At 39.8% G+C, this 20,374-nt stretch overlaps 1 protein-coding gene across 57 annotated transcripts in view; it reads left to right on the top strand.

The window, feature by feature from the left end:
• The window catches only part of CSGALNACT1 (chondroitin sulfate N-acetylgalactosaminyltransferase 1), a 353,748-nt gene that overhangs the window by 183,446 nt on the left and 149,928 nt on the right, over positions 1 to 20,374 (top strand). For 5 of the 57 annotated variants that reach the window (NM_001354481.2, NM_001354487.2, XM_047421978.1 and 2 more), the window contains one exon: positions 8,157 to 8,316. The exons of the other annotated variants lie outside the window; for them this stretch is intronic. The gene's annotated coding sequence lies outside the window, so the exon portion shown is untranslated. The remainder of the gene's footprint in view (positions 1 to 8,156; positions 8,317 to 20,374) is intronic. 57 annotated transcript variants of the gene reach the window in all.

Raw genomic sequence — 20,374 nt, 5'->3', positions numbered from 1 at the left:
GTGAAAGAGCAGCATAGCTTTTTGGTTCTGTCTGATAAACTGGGCTGCATGGAGGAACCCTATGAGCAAGAGGCTGGAAATGGATGGCAGATTCCAAGAGGCTGTGGAAGTTGTTGCAAGAGACCATTGGCACTAGGTTGCATTTGCTGGGTCTGGAGGACCTGCAGGAGAGATGGTTTCCAGGACTGAGAATCTCCAAGTCCCCAGTAGAGCAGCTCATACAAGAAAGAATGAACTTTAAACATCTGCCAGCTGGGTGCAGTGGCTTGTGCCTGTAATTCCAATAGTTTGGGAGGCCAGGGCTGGAGAATGTCTTAAGGCTAGGAGTTTAAAACCAACCAACCTGGATAGCATTGCAAGATGCCATCTCTACAAAACCAGCCAGGCATCATGGTGCACTTGTATTCCCAGCTTATCTGGAGGCTGTGGCGGGAGGATTGCTTGAGCTCAGGAATTTAAGGCTGCAGTGAGCCGTCATAGCATCACTGCAATCAAGCCTGAGTAACAGAGACTTTTTCTCTAAAAATTAAAATAAGTATCTGCCAGGCCCAAAGAATGGATTGCCAGCTTATGATGGAACCAGTCCTCTTAAGGACTCTTACTCCTTTTCTTCTACCTGCTTTATCCCCAGCACCTTGAGGGAGCTAGCAGTTGTAAAGAGAGAAGCCTTATACATCCCCTTCCTGAAACTAGCCTATCACTGGAAGGAGAGATGGAACTCTTAGGTTTGCAGTATTGATCATTAAGAGAGATTGGTATGGGAGGCCGAGGTGGGCAGAGCACTTGAGGTCAGAAGTTCGAGACCAGCCTGGCCAACATGGTGAAACCCTGTATCTACTAAAAATACAAAAATTACCTGGATGTGGTGATTCACACCTATAATACCAGCTACATGGGAAGCTGAGGTAGGAGAATGGCTTGAACCTGGGAGGCAGAGGTTACAGTGAGCAGAGATCGCACCACTACATTCCAGCCTGGGCAACGGAGTGAGACTTAGTGTCCAAAAAAAAAAAAAATTGGAATATTTCATGACTTAAGTGACTCTTAGTCAACTAAGAGTGAACAGAAAGGTCCTGGCACCTGCCAAGGTTTTCATCCAGTGCCGAGGAAGGCCACCCGCCCACTGCTGGATTTTTAAAGGGCCAGAGGGAGAATAAGATGATTCGTTTGATCACTTTCCAGCAGTTGTGCTTGTTCAACATTCTGGTTGCTATGACAGTCAGTTGATGTTTGAATGAAGAAGTGGGTAAGGGCTAATTTGCAGGGTACAGCTGGATGAGGAGAGGATGAACCAAGCTGACTTAATCTTTTTCATGTCTTGAGATCAAAGTAAAACCTCCGAATGCTACCGCCATGGGAGTGTATCCTTTTAAATGATCTGCTGGCAGGAGGTGAAAAACCCACTTCCAGTTCATTTCATCCTTTGTCCCCTGTGTATTTGTTATTTGGTATCATTTCCACCAGTTGTAACAAGTATAATTTTGATTCTGAATCCCTCGTACTGCCTTCTTGCTTTTCAAATACGATATTTAGGATTTTTGGGACTGCAGCAATTTTCTGGAGAAAGTACTCAATTATATCTCATTACGGATTATTTATCTTCACTGGAACAGAGTGAAAAATAGTCTCTTTTGTGTTTTGTGGATGTTCATGAAAAATCTTACTGTCAATTATCAGTGACCCCAGATAATACACATTAAATGTGTAAACATTTAATAGTGCTGTGAAATGCCATTAGCGTTTGCTATCCAATTTCCACCTTTAGCATGGGAATCGTGCCTTGCAACATTATCCAACCAAAGGAAAAAATAGTAATTTTATTTGCAGGTGGGTAGATAGAATTAGTTTGAACTACTAGAATAATTTATTGTAGTTGCTGAGTTAAAACTTCTTTGTGAGTAGTATGTACCCAGAAAGTGGTTTATTTGCTGGCCAAGGAAGCCTTTCCCTTCATTGGTACGTAAGCCTTGGCCATAGGTAAGGCTAGTTTATCTGAACAGACTCTTGAGTCCTGTTGCTTTTTGCTTTCTTGATTTCTCATGTTAACCTGTTCTGAAAATTACTGTAAGTTTTCTCTTAGAATCAGTGTTAAGCCTCCAATACTGCTGTTGTTTCACTGAATATCCATGAAGAATGACAAGGAAAGGTGAACATTAATGGCACAAATTTCAACATTTTCATTCTTTTCATCTAGGGAGATAGAGTTTGATAGGTAGATAAACATGTAAATCTTCTGGAGAAGTGGCTCTGGTGTTACAGGTTGAGGAGATGGAACTCTAAAAGTTTAAAAAGCATATGAAAACATGATTATTTTAGGGGAAGTATGTAAATATTTTTGTTGTTGTTGCCGATGTTTTTCTGGTTGACTGGCAGACTTTGCTGTTCTCAACATGAGAAAAACACTTGAAGGTGGCTGATGTTTTCTATCCATTGAAAATAGGAAATGATTGGCAAGTTCCATTGATGTGGGAACCCCTCAGAAAGAATGTAATGACTTATTTGATGAAAATGAGGCAGGCAGTTTTAATCCAAATAATTGGAAATAAATCCATCTTATCTTTGTAGGCCCTACAGAAAACTTACAGTAACTTCTTTTAGGAAATTCAGGCATGTCATACATTAGCTTTCCAGGCAGCCCTTGTCTGATAGCAAAGAGGGCAGAGGTTTCTGTTCCCATTTTGCTGAGGGACTGTAGGTTTGCTTTAAAGCTCTGAAAAGTCAGTGGCTGAAATAGCTGAGGCCATTTTTCAGTGGGCTTTGGCTGGGAAAGCTGAAACTAATGCCTTTCTCTGTGACTTTCCAATATAATTTTTTTCAGATATTGGTAACTTTCATCCAGAGTTACTTTCAAAAACCCCTTTCTGCTTTAGCCATTAACTTAAAATATGTGTAGATCCTTTTTAGTATAAATGCCGTATTAGCCATATTAGTTGGGGAGAAAGAGTGGCAGCTGACAGCGACTCTTTCCCTGGTTCTGTTTTTTTTTTTTGTTTTTGTTTTTGTTTTGGTGGGGGGCTACTCTTAATTGCTTTCTGGACTTTGGCCAGATAGGCACCAGGCTTAAGTCAGTAACAATTCTCAGGTGCCCCCCACTCTAGAATTCTAGGACTCCCTGAATCATAGGTGTTTAGGTAGGGACTAGCTCCTGTAGGATAGCAGGTTTGTCAGATGAGTGTCTTAGTTATATCGGATACGGAGTTTCAAAAATCAGAGACCTGTAATCCCAGTGCTTTGGGAGGTTGTGGCAGGCAGATTGCTTGAGCCCAGGAGTTTGAGACCAGCCTGGGCAACATAGCAAAACCTCATCTTTACAAAAAATACAAAAATAGCTAGGTGTGGTGACACACTTCTTTGGTTCCAGTTACTTGGGAGGCTGAGGTGGGAGATCACCTGAGCCTGGGAGGTTGAGGCTGCAGTGATTGTGCCACTGCACTTCTGCCTGGGTGACAAAGCAAGAACCTGTCTCAAAAATAAATAAATACATAAATCAGAGGCATCTCTGTACGTTTTGTTGTTGTTGTTTGTTGTTTTTGTTTGTTTGTTTGTTTTTTGAGATGGAGTCTTGCTCCATTGCCCAGGCTGGCTGCTATGCAATAGCGTGATCTCGGCTCACTGCAACCTGTGCCTCCTGGGTTCAAGCCTCAGCTTGATTCTTGTGCTTCAGCCTCCCAAGTAGCTGGGATTACAGGCACCTGCCACCACACTTGGCTAATTTTTGTGTTTTTAGTAGACATGGGGTTTCACCATGTTGGCCGAGCTGGTCTCGAACTCCTACCCTCGTGATCTGCCCACTTCGGCCTCCCAAAGTGCTGGCATTACAGGCTTGAGCCGCCAAACCCGGCCTGTACATGTCTTAAATTAGAACAACCCTCCCAGCGTGTGCCACTGTCCTGAATGCCTTGGAAACCCTGCAGCCATGGAGTCAGAGGTACCACTCCTTTCTGTCCCTGTCCTCATTACCTCTTGCTCTCTGTTTGTGTCCGGATTAGGTTATGGCTCCTTTTAGGTGTTAATGAGGAGTGTACTATTGAGACAGCTGGAATGGCTTCTGTACCTTTGTAGGGGGAGAATACAATTCTTTGTTGGATTGGTTAAATAATCCTTTCAAGTGTTCAAGCATTCAAATTATAGCCATCAGCAAAAATATGCTTAAAGAAAATTGGCTTCCCATAATTAAAATGATTAAAACGAATATTAAGCCTTGGGAAACAGCCAACACTTTTTGTTTCTTACCTTTCTAATGAGGTATAACTTACATAAAGTACAAAAATCTTAAGTATACAGTTCAGCAGAGTTTTACATATGAATATATCTGTTTAATCACCACACAAATCAAGATGTAGACCACTTCTAGAACCAAAAAAAAAAAATAGGCCCCCAATCTACCCTCCCTTCCATTTAACATCCCCTGCCCCAAAGCGTGCCACTATTTGGACCTCTAATCTAATCAGACATCTTGGATTACTTTTGCCTGCTCTTGAACTTCATACAAATAGCATCATAGAGTATATCTTCCTTTATGTGTGACTTCTTTAATTGTGTCTCTGAGATTGATCTGTATGGCTGCATGTAGCAGTAGTTTGTTCTATTTGGTTGCTGTGAAGTATTGTATGAATATAGTATAATTTATCCATTCTACTGTTGATGGATAATTTAGTTTATCCAGTTTTGGACTATTAGGGATAAAATTTCTAAATATCCTTGTTCGTGCTTTCTGGTGGACATGTCTGTTCTTGACTTACTGGGTCATAGCATAGGCCTAGGTTTATCTTTAGAACACACTGATAAACAGAGTTACAGATTGGTTATATCAATTTCGACTCTACCAGCAATGTATGTGAGCTCCAGTTGCTCCACATCCTTGAAAGCATTTGGTATTGTCAACAACCAACTCGTAATGCTAAAAAAAAGTGCTAGCTCTAATTTAAAAGTAGATTTTTTTTTTTCATCTCCAGAACTCAGATACTTCTTCTCAAGTGAAGTTTTAATTCACCAGGTGGCAATATTCAGTACTGGGTTCAAAAAGCTTTATTGTATCACAAGGTCTATAAAAGGACAAAGCATCACTCCTGCTTTGATGAGTTTACTGTATTTCACTAGGGTGTCAGAGAGAATAGTCCATCAGCAGTGTGAGTCAAGTTATGATCAAGTGCCATGATCAATAGCCTCTCAAACCTATCTTAACAGCAGGATCCAGTCCCCACCCTAAATAGTCAAGCACATTATGCTTGTCTGTAGCATCTTTTCAGTTTTCCTCTAGCACTGTGCTGTCATTAACTGTGTACTTTTCAGGATATTCCCACTACGCCCATCTGGCTAATGGTAGCACTGTGTACTCCATATCTGTCTCCTTAAAAGCTCTCTCATTTCTTTTCTACATTATCAGAATTGATTGCCCCATATCTTGCTTTTGACTCAGGTAAATGAAGTTGCAGTGTTAAAATTGCATCATGGTTCATTTATGTTACCTCCTCCTGGAAGTATTTTTATTTTAATAATGGATTCTGGGACACATAGTGTCTTAGCTACAAGGAATTAGCCTTGATGGTTGGATGTTTGATCTGTTGAGGCTAAGGGAGAATTTTGAAAGGAAGTCTTGATAAATATCCCCATATAAAAAGCTGTCTATTCTACCTACATTTAAAGGTAGCTCTAACAGGGAGCTATGGAAATGGCTAAAAATTGAGACAGAAATTTCAAATTACTGCAATGCGAGGTTGTATTGGCACCATATATCTGTTGGTTTGGACCATTTCATTCTGGATGTATTGACTGAATAGAATCTCATATTTTTTGAAGTTTTATATATATTGCCACTTTAGACTTTAGATTCCAGCAGATTTTTCTTTATATACACTATAAAATTAAAGAATTTAAAGTCCTTTTGTTTTTCACAGTTAATATAGTACTGAGTATGGAAATCCAAATGATTATTTGATGTTTATTTAAATTTGGGATAATCCTGATCCACCATCAGAGCCTATATTGCACCCATCTGATCAGAATTCTTATACAGCCATGCACCGCATAATGATGTCTGGGTCAATGATGAATCACATATATGATGGTGGTCCCATAAGATTATAATACCATATTTTCCCTATGCCTTTTCTATTTTTTGATATGTTTAGATACACAAATACTTACCCTTGTGTTACAATTGTATTCAATACAGTAACATGCTTTACAGGTTTACAGCCTAGGAGCAATAGGCTATACCATATAGCCTAGGTGTATAGTAGGCTCTACCATCTAGGTTTGTGTCAGTACAATATATGATGTTTGCATGATTAAATAACCTAAGAGTGTGTTTCTCAGAATGTATTCCCATTGTTAAGTGACTGTATAACAAATCAAGATATCTCTACATTGCAAAAACCAATGTTTGAATGAAAACATATGGTGGATGATTACATCCAATTTGATTTTTTTTCATTTGTTGAGACTAAAACATATATACATACCTGAGCTACTTTTAGAGAACTCAGTGAAGTTACATCATTTTCATAGTTATGTTTTATACATCTTTCATTAAATTCATTTCTAGGTACTTTATATTTTTGATGACATAGTAAATGGTATCTTTTTAACATTTCATTTTCTAACTCTTTGTGCTTATATTAAAATAGAATTGATTTTTCCACATTGTGTTTTACATCTAACAACGTTGTTAAACTCTTATTAATTCTGATATTTTATATGTGTTTTCATTTGGATTTTGGATTTTTCCTATTTTCTACGTATAGAAAATAGACACATCAGTAAATAATGACATTCTAATTTTGTCTTTTCTAATTCTTATATTTTCACATTTATTTTCCTTGCCTTATTGCATAGGCTTAGATCTTGAGTACAGAGTTTAAGAAAAGTGATGGTAGTGGGTATCCTTATAATCCAGATCGCAAAAGAAGAAGTTTTAACGTTTCCCCAATAAGTGTAATGTCTATGGTAGAGTTGTTGTAAATACCCTTCATCAGATTAAGGAAGTAGCCTTCTATTTCTGGTGGATGATGAGTTTTATCATACACTTTGTCTGTCACACTGCCTCTTAAATGTGGAAAATGGCAGTCCTGACTCACTCTCATTAACATAATATTTTGGATTGACTTTTATTACTTAGGTTGGGTTCTAGGCTGATCCTTCTACTCTTTTTCCTGGCTAACGACTGCTGGAAGAATTGACGTTTACAGTCACCTAAGTCTCCCTCTTTGTACTGGTGTACATGTGGTTCTGAGCAAGTACTGGCTCATGATCAGCTCAGGACATCTGGGGTTTTTGTTTTGCCATTTTTTACTCCATCAGGTCTAGGCTTGAGTCTTTTCAGTTGAACCAATCTGTGCCCTAAGCCTGTGTTTTGCCATTAGCCCTAAAGGTGACTGAGTGTTTGCATTGACCAGTGAAAACTCACGCATTAGGAGGGGAGGAAACCCGAGTATGAGTGAATTGGGGATATTATCTTATCCTTCTGCAGGCAGCACAGAGCTGTGCAGAGGGCTCTGAGCCAGGATCCACATACCTGGAGTCTCCTGGCTTTCTCATGGCAAGGGCCTCACCCTTGAGAACCTTTGCCTTTTCATCCTTAGAAAAAGGGGGGTTGGCTGTAAGTACTCATCAAGGGCTGCTTTTGCTCTAAGACTCCGTGAATCGTTGAGGGGTAGCCTGTTGTTATCCTCTTTTATGTTATCCCTTTAACCCTGAAGGAGTTGAGAATTTTAATCTTGTATTTTCAGATGGGGAACTCCCTTACAGAGACATCAAGCAAGGGGCTTCAAATCCTAACAAGAATGGAGCACCTTGTTTTAGATCTGACCTGCAAAATGGAGATTGAATATATTTAATTATACTTATTTAAAATGCAAAAACCTATTTTCTTAGAAACGGAAACATCTTTTTTGGTAACTAATATTTATTGTACCAGGTTTTTTATAATGTGTAGCACATATTAAGCAGTCCATTAAGTGTGCGTGTTGGTTTCCTGTGGCTGCTGTGACAAATGACCATAAACATAAGGCTTTTAAGCTTATTTAACCTTATGGTTTTAACAAAAAAATTTATTTTCTCATGGTTCTAAAGACTAGATATTCAAATGAAGTTGTCAGCAGGGCCACGCTTCCTCTGAAGACTCCAGGAGAGAACAAATTCTTTGTTTCTTTTAGCTCCTGGTGGCTCTAGATCACATCATTCCAGTCTCTGATCATGGTCACATTGCTCCTTCCTCTTCTGTGTCAAAACTCCCTCTGCCTCTCTCTTACAAGAATACATGTGATGACATTTAGGACCCATCCAGATAATCCAGGATAAATTCCTCCTCTCAAGGTAATGAACTCTATTATATCTTTTTGCCATGCAAGGTAATATTCACTCTTTTTGCCATAGAAGACAAAAGGTTTTATGGATTAGGAGACAGATACATCTTTTTCGAGGCCACCAGCCATCCTATTTACAACGTGGAAGCTGTTACTATATTTTGATGATGATGTAACTCAAGGTAACTAGAAATGGGCATTTAAAGACTAGATCAGCCTTGAAGTTTTTTGTTTTTGTTTTTGTTTGAGATGGAGCCTTGCTCTGTTGCCCAGGCTGGAGTGCAGTGGCACGATCTCGGCTCACTGCAACCTCTGCCTCCTGGGTTCAAGCGATTCTGCTGCCTCAGCCTCCCAAGTAGCTGGGATTACAGATGTGCACCAGGCTAATTTTTGCATTTTTAGTAGAGACAGCGTTTCACCGTGTTGGCCAGGCTGGTCTTGAACACCTGACCTCAGATGATCCACCCACCTTGGCCTCCCAAAGTGCTGGGATTACAGGTGTGAGCCACTGTGCCCGGCCTGAAGTTCTTTAATGTAAGAATAGAGGTGCTCTGTTTTCAGTAGTACAACCAATGAAGCTGGAGAGAATACTTGGCTATCTCTCAAATTTATCCTTTGAACTTCTTGTTTATTTTTATAAAATTGATCATCAGAGGATCTTGAGTTGGAAAGATATCTCTAACTACCTGAGATGAATGAATGTCATAAATATAGGTCAAGAGATTTAATTTTTAAAAATTACATGATAGTTGAGGACTTTATTAGTTTTGTAGTCTGCCAAGTAGGCAGTCCTGCTACACTGCCTGGAGAGGTGACAGTTTATGCCAGAGGAGACTGAGGGGAGTCCTTTATTTTACCTTTACTTACTCAATCTGGGAGTCAGATTAAAATTTTTTTCTATGGTGTTTTTTGACTTTTAGAACTTTTCCGAAAGTTGGATTTTGGAAAAAGGTGGAAAGTGTTTTATGAAAGTTGGATTTCAGAAACACTTCGAAAGTCTGTAAAGTGATACATAATCTGTTCTCTCTATATACAGTAGGAAAAGGATATTTTTCAGCAAGGATGCTTGTAACCTTCAAACTTCGGCCAAATTTGTAATATAGTGGGCACTTTCAGTCCCTGAAATGCAGTGGATTCATTGAGGTCCTTTTATATGCAAAGCACAGCACAGCATGATGGAGCATGATGGAAGTGACCTAGATATGTTCACTCACTTGTCACTCATTTATTCTACCAATATTTACTGAATCCCTGCTGTGTGCCTGGCACTGTTCTAGGAGCTTGAGAAACTGTGCTGAACAACCCAGATAAAGGTTTTGCTTTCATGGGGCTTACATTCTCATGGGGCAAGGTAGCCAATTAAAAAACCACAGAAATACTACAGAAAAAGTGCTATGCAGAGAATTAGAATGAAATGTGCTACAGAGTGAGCAAGGGCGTCTTTCGATTGGATGATCCAAGAAGGCCTCTTGAAGGAGGTGATTTTAAGATGAATTCTGATTGGACACAAAGGAGTGAGTGCTGTGGATGCACTGCACAGGTTGCATAAGCATATAGGGCCGCTCTTCCAGGTCCCCAAGGCAAGAATGAGTGTGGGCAGCTTCGAGGAGCCAAAATGTGGAACATTGTGGCTGAGGAACCTGTGGTGGGAAATTAGGTTACAAAGGACAGTTAGGACCTGTCACCTAGTTCTGTGGTTCCCAACCTGGGCTTCCCATTAGAAATATCTTGCAGGAACTTTAAAAAAAAAAAAAAAATACCTGAACCTCACCTGAGAAAAACGAAATTGAAATTTCTGAGGATGGGACTAGGCATCCATTTTTGTGGCTGTTTTTATTTTGTTTTGTTTTGTGCCCAGAGGGATTCTAATCTAACAGGAAACCAGCATGGGTAATTCAGGATATTGAAAAAGTAGAAAACGTAGATTTTGTTTGAAAATCAACGGGTTGTCTTTAAAGTCCTTTAAAGTAGGGAGTGATATGACCTGGTTTCCTCTTTTAAAAGTTTGCGAAATGTTCTGTGCGTTAAGTTCAGTGAAAGAAGCGTTTTAACTGAAGTTTTAAAGCAGTATCCTGTGGGAGCACCGACAGTGGAAGGATCAAGTCAGGACAGGGCAGTGCTCAGTGGTGGAAATCTGAAGGATTATCTGAAGGAGTAGGTGTGGTGTGGAGAGCCGTGGAGACAGAACGTCCAGCTTCAGAAACAGCCGCAGCGTGGTGTGTGAGTGTGCGTGGCTGAGGGAGGAGGCCAGTGTGGTGGGAGTCTAGGGTTGGGGAGGACATGCCTGGGGGAGGGGCTGAAGGGGAGGTTGGAGGCCTTTGAGTGTTACGCAAGGAAGGCTAGACTGTATGAGTCGCTGGGAGTTAGTGAAGACATTTGAGGCTTAGAGGGATCTGAGCAGACTTGTGTTAGGAGGCTGGATCCGCTGACTTTGAAGGGTGGATTAAAGATCTGAGTGGAGGTGGAGACTGCTTAGAAAGCTACCATGGTAGTCACAATGTAGTTTGTGAATGAGTAACTGAAGTAAGGCAGGGGCTGTGGGAATAGGAGGAAGCAGGCATATTCAAGAGCGGTGATGGTGACCATCAGAATGGGTTCTTTTGACACAGATGTGGAGGCAATGGGTGGGCACTGATAGAGTGGGAGTGGGTAAAGGCGACTCCAGGTCAGCCATGACTTGCCAGTTGTCTCTGCTGAAAATAATATTTTTCTATTTAAAAAATTTTTAAGTTCCAGGTTACACGTGCAGGATATACAGGTTTGTTACATAGGTCAATGTGTGTCATAGTGGTTTGCTGCACCTGTCAACCCATCACCTAAGTATTAATCCCAACATGCTTTAGCTATTGTTCCTGATGCTCTCCCTCCCCCTGACCCTCCTGACAGACCCGATTGTGTGTCGTTCCCCTCCCTGTGTCCATATGTTCTCATTGTTCAACTCCCACTTAGTAGTGAGAATATGCAGTGTTTGCCTTTCTGTTCCTGCATTAGTTTGCTAAGGTTAATGGCTTCTAGCTCCGTCCATGTCCCTGTAAAGGACATGATCTCCTTTCTTTTTATGGCTGCATAGTATTCCATGGTGTGTATGTACCACATTTTCTTTATCCAGTCTATCATTGATGGGCATTTGGGTTGATTCTATGTCTTTGCTATTGTGAATAGTACTGTAATGAACATACATGTGCATGTATCTTTATAATAGAATGATTTATATTCCTTGGGTATATACCCAGTAATGGGATTGCTTGGTCAAATGATATTTCTGGTTTTAGATCTTTGAGGAATCATCACACTGTCATCCACAATGGTTGAACTAATTTACATTCCTACCACCAGTGTAAGAGCGTTCCTGTTTCTCCAAAGCCTTGCCAGTATTTTTTGTTTCTTGACTGTAATAATCACCATTCTGACTGGCATGAGGTGGTATCTCATTGTGGTTTTGGTTTGCATTTCTCTAATGATAAGTGATGTTGAGCTTTTCTTCATATGTTTCTTGTCTTCTTTGAAAAGTGTCTGTGTCCTTTGCCTACTTTTTAATAGGGTTGTTTATTTTTTTGTTGTAAATTTGTTTAAGACTCTGGATATTAGACCTTTGTCAGATGGATAAGTTGCAGAATTTTTCCCCATTCTGTAGATTGTCTGTTTGCTCTGATGGTAGTTTTTTTTTTTTTTCTGTGCAGAAGCTGTTTAATTGAACCCCATTTGTCAGTTTTTGCTTTTGATGAAATTGCTTTTGACATTTTTGTTATGAAATAGTTGCCCATGCCTATATCCTGAATGGTATTGCCTAGCAAAAATAGTATTTTTTTGTTTCTAAGTCATTACTATTCTATGTAAAAGGGCACTTCAAAATGACTTCTTTGCCTTAGCCTGAAGAATTTTTATGAAATAAGCAAGTCAGCTTTCAATGACCATGAAGAGCCTTTTCAAGGTTGAAGATTCAAGATAATATCTTTAAGCCTGGGTTCTATTTGATATAGCCCATCAGGGCCCAAGCCTCTGGTTTGGCTGTGGGGGGTCTGTGGGGGTGGCAGGATGGTGGTGCTCAGAGTGGGACCACAGCAGCTTTCCTCCCCCAGGACCCATACTTGTCAGGTGATGCCTCAGTGCAGGCTTGGTAGGAGCTCCATCCAGAGGGAGTAGGAGAAGGTGGAAGCCACGGTGGAGGATAGGGGAAGGTCAAGGGCATTCTAGAGGTTCAAGGGTGAGAAATGCAGGCATGATCAGGCCGCATGCTGAAATAGCAATCCCTCCCCACCCATCTGGGCCTGGCTTGGGCTCAGGTGTTCCTCTTACCTCTTACCCTCCTGGCCCCACTGACTTCTCCTCTTCTCCCTGTAATCACTGCTGCTTCCACTGGCCTTCCTCACTATTGGTTCACTGCCAGTAGAATTAGCTTCACAGCATATTCCCTTTGTGCTTGTTCTTGTGCTAGTTTCTAGTAACAAGGTCAGAGGGGTAAAAGAATCATTCTCTGTATGCCCCCTGCCCCTTCTGCCATGTACTTGTTTTCCCCTTGTAAAGGGAGAGAAGGCCTGCACGTGGATCTTAATCATCACACCTGCTGCAGGACAGGCCAAGGCCGCCTTTAGCAGCAGGTATAAGCCACAGTTAGATTTGAATTTTTTCACAGGATCTGGGATAGAGCAGAGGGCTTGCAAGTGAAGAGCCTGGTGGGGCCTCGGAGAGGGACTCATACATAGGAAACAACCTCCACCATTATTTTTCATCTGTTTCTTATTCTCCTAGCTTCCTGTGCTTGTTGGTCATGAAGCACTTATCCAACCTATGTCCAAATCAAGCTCTGAAATTTACACGTTTGTTTTCTGTCATTTTCATTATAAGACCAAAAATATGTACAAAAATGTTCATAAACCATAAATGTAGAGGTTAATGAATAATTTGAAAGTAGATACCTATATAACACAGAAGATTGACAGATTGTCCATAACCTTCCATGAGTCCCTTCCTGATCACACTCCTTTCCTCTCCCACAGACACCTAGTCTTCTCATTTTTATGATAATTGCCTTGCTTTAAAAAAATCTCACCACTCTTTTGATAATTATTTATGGTTATCACTGAATTATATATAAATGAAGTCAGCCTTTGTATGTTCTTTTGAGTCTTGCTGCTTTGTTCTATATTAGGTTTGTAAGATGCATTTATTCTGCTGTGTGTAGCTGTGGCTTCTTAGATTTTGCTGCTGTATAGTGAAGTATTTGATTGAATGAAAATATGAGTGTGTTTATCCACCTTAGGGTTGTTAACAGTTTTGGGAATATAGATTTTGCAGCTGTGAATATTCCTATGCCTGCATTCCAGTGCATACCAGCATGCCTTTCTCTATCAACCCAGAAGTGGAATTGCTGGCTCCTGGAATACGCATCTCTGCATCTGTCCTGTGTTCCAAGTGGTGTTACATCTTTGTCAGCACTTAGTAGTGTCATACTTTGTTTTGTTGCAGAATGAAGGTGTGTATTCATATCTCTTTGTGGTTTTATTTTGCTTTTCTCTGTTTGCTCGTAAGGTTGATTCCTTTTTCCTGTTTGTGGTCACACGGATTTCCCCTTGTGTGTGTGAAGTGGGTCATTTTTCCATCGTGTTGTGTATCTATTGAATTGTTTGCAGAATTCTTATGCTTTCAGGATCGAAGTCTTCTGTTGGTTATACATGTGACTGATCTCTTTCCTACTCTGTGGCATGTCTTTTAACTCTCTTTATGGTGGTTCTTAATAAACAGAAAGTTTTTAATTTTGATGTAGTCATATTCGTCAGCCACTTCATAAGGTTGTTGCCTTTTGTGCCTTTTTAAAGAAGTCCTTTCCTAGCTCAAGGTCATGAATATATTTTATAAATTAAATTTTAAAAGCTTTAGAGTTTAATCTTGCAGTCTTTAAGCTTAAAGTCCATCTGAAATTATTATGTGTGGTGTGAGGTAAAGATTGAAATGAATTTTTTTATTTGGATACTCTAGTTCCATTTAGTGAAACCACTTCACCCTCTTTGTTCAGTCCCCCAAGGTCCGTGCAGGTTACATTCTACTTACTACCTATGCAACATACCAAAAATGTTTATAAGTGGGGGTCTATTTCCAAGTGTTCTAGTCAGTGCCGTTTGTCTATTCTATACCAGTAGCACACTGGTTTAATTACTGCGTCTTCTTAAGTGAGTCTTAATATCTGAGAGAACAGCCTGGTACTTCAAGAGAGTCTTAATTATAGTTGGCCCTTTGCATTTCCATATGCAATTTTACAATCAACTTAGTCAAGTTCCACACCACCTCACATAAAGTCTTGGGGTTTTTATTGGCATTGTATTGATTCTATAAGTTCATTTGGAGAGAACCAACATCTTTACAATGTTGTCTTTCTCTACTGAAGTTTTATTGTTTTCTTCCTCAGAGGTTTCTGCATGTCTTTTGTTAGATTTATTGCTAGGCACTTTTTGATACAGTTTCAGATGGTATCTTTTTTTTGGATTTCATTTTCGGTTTGCTTTTATATACATAGAAATTTAGTTTTTCTACATTGCTAATTGGTTTCCCTACATTGCTGAACTCTACTATTCTAACAGCTTATCTGTGAATGTATTTGGATATCATATCATTTCTGAATAACGACAGTTGTTTCTTCCTTTCCAATCCTTGTACCATTTATTTACTTATGCCTTAATACACTGGCTAGGTTTTAATTTGATGTTGAATGTTGAATAGAAGTGCGGATGGTAGGCATCTTTGTCTTGCTTCTGATTTCAAATGGAAATTGTCAGCATTTAAGTATGATGTTTGCGGTAGTATTTTTGTATGGTAGATAATCTAATGGGAAAGAAGTGACCTTCTCTTCTTACTTCTCTAAGAGTTTTAAATCATGGATGTTCAATTTTATCAGCTATATTTTCTGCATTTATTGAAAAAATTATAATCAACTTGGTCATGATATATATTACTGGATTTGGTTTGCTAAAATTGTGGGGCTTTGTATCCATGTTCATGAGAGACATTAGTTTGTAATTTCCATTTCAGATACCATCTTTGTTGTTAAAATAGAGCATTGAAATGTTTAATTTCATTCTGAAGTTCCCTGAGGAATAAAAATTAAGCTTTTTTGTTGTGAAAGCCACAGTTGCTTTGAAATAGAACTGTTTACCTATGCATGTAGTTCAAGGAACATCAAATATTTGGAAATGATCTTCCTTTGGGAAAGTTCAAATTATGTTCAGAATATTTCCAGTTTAGCTAATAATGAGAAAAATTCCTTTATATAAATTGTTTCATGGAAAAAATACCTCTTTGCAAAATATCTTCCCAAGAATGTTGATGACGTGTAGGTAATGGCCTCATCCCTGAAACCATTTTTTTAATAACTGGATTTAAAACTTGTTCAGTATTCTATTTAAATCTCTAAATTAAATGTCAGTGTGAAAAGAATTTTTCTCTCTTGGATAACCCATGACACTAATAGTTTAAGCGTTGAGTCAGTAGTTGAGTAGTGCATTTTCTAAGAATAGTTTTTACTTTTGGAAGCAAAAAATAAGTCTTTTAAGTTTAAAAAGTAAACATCTAGATTAAACCCACATGATATAAAATACAGGATATAATTTCGATTTATGTTAATTAGCTTTCCAAATCCATAGATACTTTTTCTGTATTAACATACCCTTTTCAAGAATGTTCAGAAATCTCCTGGAAACCCTAATAGTATAACTTTCTCAACTATAGGGACCCTTAAATCCCTAACTGTAAAGAAGAAGTTTCTAAAATAGTGTTAAGAAGGGCAAAGAGCCAAGTTCCAGCCATGAAGAGGGTTCCTACTTTGGAGGAATGGCTGAAATGTAAAACATGATACTGGCAATCAAATCACATTGGATATGTTAAAGAGCCATGAATCCACAAAAAAACCCAAAGTGAATGTAAAAGTGTGCCAAAAGGTAGCTTAAATGTATACTTGAGCTGTTAATAACACTTGTAGTAAACATGATAAACATTCATCAAATGGTAGCTTCACAACATTCTGTGGTGGTGATCAGCTGATTCAGGAAATAGTAGAATTTTAGAATGAGATGAGACAAAAGCAGCCATGCAGTACAATTTCCTTGTCCAAGAGATGAGATGAGTGACGTTACTAAAATCAGAAAGGCATTTATTATTAGAGTTGGGACTGTATTTGTTTACTTGTTTATGTTTTCATTTTTACATGTCTTTTGTTAGATTTATTGCTAGGCACCTTTTGATATGGTTTCAAACAGTATCACAAGTTTCTTGAAAAGCTACCACGTGTGAGATACTGTTGTATGTACTGAGAAGAATGGCGTGGTGAACAAACGAAGTTCCTTCCTCATGGGGTTTATGTTTCAGGATAGGAGATTGACAACAAACAAAGAGCTTTATAATAACATGATAGGTATGAAGAAGTGGCAAGAAGAAAAATAAAGCAAGGAAAGGAAACAGAGTTGACAGGGGGTGCTGTTTGGGTAGAATGGTCAAGAGGAAGTTAGTGAGATGACCTTTGAGCAAAGCCTGAATAAAATACAGGAATAGGCCTTGTGGATACTTAGGGGAAGAATGTCCCAGAAAAAGAGAAAGTACAAATGCTGGTGTGTCCCCAAAACAACGAATAGGCCTGTGTGGCTAACAAGGCAGCAGGGGAAGTGTGGGGGCTTTGAGGTGGGAAATGAGGCTGGGTGCAGGGTCTTTTAGGGGCCTGGAGGCCCTGGTCCAGGATTTGGGATGTATTGAATGGGAGACGTTGGAGAGTCTGGAGCTGGAACATAACAAAATCTGACTTTAGTTTTGCAAGGATCCCTCTGCTGCCATATAATAGTCTGAAGAGAGACAAATATAGAAAAGAGGAATAGTAGTGAGGAGGCAACTACAGTTTTAAGGCAAGAGATCAAGGACAAGGGAATTATGGGTAGACAGGGATTCCGGGTAGACCAGGAGATTCTGGGTAGGATGAGGTTGTGACAGCTCAGTGGTTTCCTGATGTGTCTAGAAGAGGCAACTAAATTTACAGAATTGGATCTGGGGTGCAAGGGAAATTCCAGGCACCTCAACAGTGATGCCAATCCCTTTTCACCTGAATAAAGCATTTTAGAATATGTTCCCAAGATTGAATTTTGCTTTTCTTCTCTGAAGGATGTTCCAGTTGAGGTTGAAGACTTTTTTTTTTTTTTTTGGCTGGGCAGAGAGTATGATCCTTCTCATCTGCAGTGGTGTGGTTTGTTTATAGCACACCTGCCTACAGGTGTCTCTAACTTTGTATCTGATTTACTTTAAATGTCTACACCGGGTTCAATTTTAGTTTACATCTGGAAACTTCATCCTGTTGTACTTTAATGTCTGTTGACCTGAAAATTGCTAGGTCTTTCTGAGATTAAATTTGCTTCAAGATACATGGTGCATTAATATGACTCTGGAAGCTCTGGGTGTTGGCACTGGAGAAATTATCCTAGGAGAGAAAAAAAAAAGGAGAATCTATTATAGCTTGTGCCTGCTTGCAGCAGATAGAAGCTTGCATACAGAACAGTCCCAATAATGCTGTGTTCTGATTGTGCCAACTCATTAAATTGACTAGAGCACAACACTATTGGTCAGCAGTCTTGGTTGCCGTGGTGCCGTGACACTGAATATTGACTCTGAATTGATGCCAAAGCCAAATCCATTGGATTTCATTATCACTGATTGTCATCCATTATTTCCCCCTTTAAAATAAAAGGAACAGATGTTAAAGTAGGATTTTGTTCCATAATAAAATCATCTTTTTTTTTTTTTTCTTTTGAGAGATGGAGTTTCACTCTTGTTGCCTAGGCTGGAGTGCAAATGGTGCAATTTCGGCTCACTGCAACCTCTGCCTCCTAGGTTCAAGCGATTCTCCTGCCTCAGCCTCCCGAGTAGCTGGGATTACAGGCATACACCACCATGCCCAGCTAACTTTTTGTATTTTTAGTAGAGACAGTGTTTCACCACGTTGGTCATGTTGGTCTTTTCCTGACCTCAGGTAATCCGCCCACCTCAGCCTCCCACAGTGTTGGGATTACAGGCATGAACCACCCTGCCCGGCCAAAATCATCCTTTTTATGTTGTTTGTTAATGCAAATGTTGCTTGCGCTTGTCATCACAACTTTCAGTGTTATCGTTCTTATCTTCGAGGGTAAAAAAACACACCACAGAATGCCGGTTCCTGATGGCTGTTTTAAAAATGGGACTCGAGAAGCCAAATAAAGAGGATCATTTTACTTCTTCAGTTTCTGTGACTGTGCTGAGTTACCAAGGGGATGAATGTGTGGAGTTGGGGTGTTTCCACGGAGTTGCATTTCAGTCACTCACATACCAGGCTGAATATTTCCCACAAGACAAGCATGCTATATTTTTAGGCACAGGCAATTAAGGTGACGATAGATTTCATTTTATAAGCAATTGTGAGTAGAAATAGATCTCAATAATCCTGGAACCTAACCACCCGTAACATGCTAAGTGAAGTCTGAAGATGTATAGTTGGGAGCAATAAACAGCATTGTAACCACAGAGATGTGCTTTGATGCTCACAGGTGTTTCCAGTTGAGCCAGTGTCAAGTTCTTGTTTTTTTGTTTGTTTATTTTTTTCTAAATATATCGGAATTATGCTTCAGTGTATTGGATATGCTTCAAATAGGTCAGAAAGTACTATGGGAAGCACGTGAAATCTCGAAAAGTTTGGGAGTTATAGCCCTTTAAAGTGGACCTCTCTTACTGCATCTGATAGTTTGTCATTTTCTTTCTTCAAACTCTACCTCCTTCGCCTGCATCACAACAAACATTCCTGGTTCTCTTTTGTAGGCAGTTGCCTCCATTTGATATTGATGGTCCCCCTTAGAGAGCTGCTTTTAACTCCTATAACTGACCCTTCTTTTTCTTTTCTTTTCTTTTTTTTAATTTTTTTGAAACAGAGTCTTGCTCTGTCACCCAGGCTGGAGTGCAATGGCGCGATCTCGGCTCATTTCAAACTCTGCCTCCTGGGTTCAAGCTATTTTCCTGCCTCAGCCTCCTGACTAGTGGGAACTACAGGCGCTCAGCACCACGCCCGGCTAATTTTTGTATTTTTAGTAGAGACAAGGTTTCACCATGTTGGCTAGGATGGTCTCGATCTCCTGACCACGTGATTCACCCCCGCTCGGCGTCCCTAAATGCTGGGATTACAGGCATGAGCCACCACGCCCGGCTCATTTCTTTCTTTCTTCTTTTCTTTCCTTTATCTTTTTTTGAGACAGAGTCTCCCTCTGTCACCCAGGCTGCAATGCAGTGGCGGGATCTTGGCTCACTGCAACTGCCGCCTCCCAGGTTCAAGTGATTATCCTGTCTCAGCCTCCTGAGTAGCTGGGACTACAGGTGTGTGCCACCACACCCAGCTAATTTTTGTATTTTTAGTAGAGACGGGGTTTCACCATGTAGGGCAGGCTGGTCTTGAACTCCTGACCTCAGGTGATTCACTGGCCTCAGCCTCCCAAAGTGCTGGAATTTTAGGCATGAGCCACTGCATCCAGCCTATATAACTGCCTTTTCTGATGTTATCATTGTATCTGAAAATTTTATGCTTACAGTTATTTCCTGGTATATCAGTTTTGGAAACTGTCAGTTTGCTCAATATGGTTGCATCGCATTTTTAGTTCCTCTATTTAAGTAACTTAATAGTATATTTCTATTTTATATCTTCCTTCATTACCCAGAGGTGGCATCACTTGGTCCCTGACTTAGAAGGTGAGGATCTTGGCCCTGCATTATTTCCTGTAGCTCCTCTCACCGTCTGCCTCTGTTATGTGTACCTGACTCTCCAGGTACCAAAAATGATAACACCGATTTGATAAGTTAACCAACTTATTTTCCTTCAGAGCTTTGAAGACATTGCTCCATTGACTTTTGATGTGCAGTGTTGCTGATGATAAATCTGTTACCAGTCCACTCTCCTTCCCTTGCAGATAACTTGTACTTTTTCTTTGGAACCCTTTAGGATATTGTTTTTTTCTTTTGAGTTCTGAAATTTCCCTGTATTATGTTCAGCTGTGGGCTTTGTTTTTTCATTCGTTCTCTATTAT

The sequence above is a fragment of the Homo sapiens genome, chromosome 8 (genome assembly GCF_000001405.40).
Source record: "Homo sapiens chromosome 8, GRCh38.p14 Primary Assembly".
In the NCBI taxonomy this organism is placed as follows: Eukaryota; Metazoa; Chordata; class Mammalia; order Primates; family Hominidae; genus Homo; species Homo sapiens.
The sequence above is the reverse complement of the archived record's forward strand: the minus strand, read 5'-3'. Positions and strand labels throughout refer to the sequence as shown.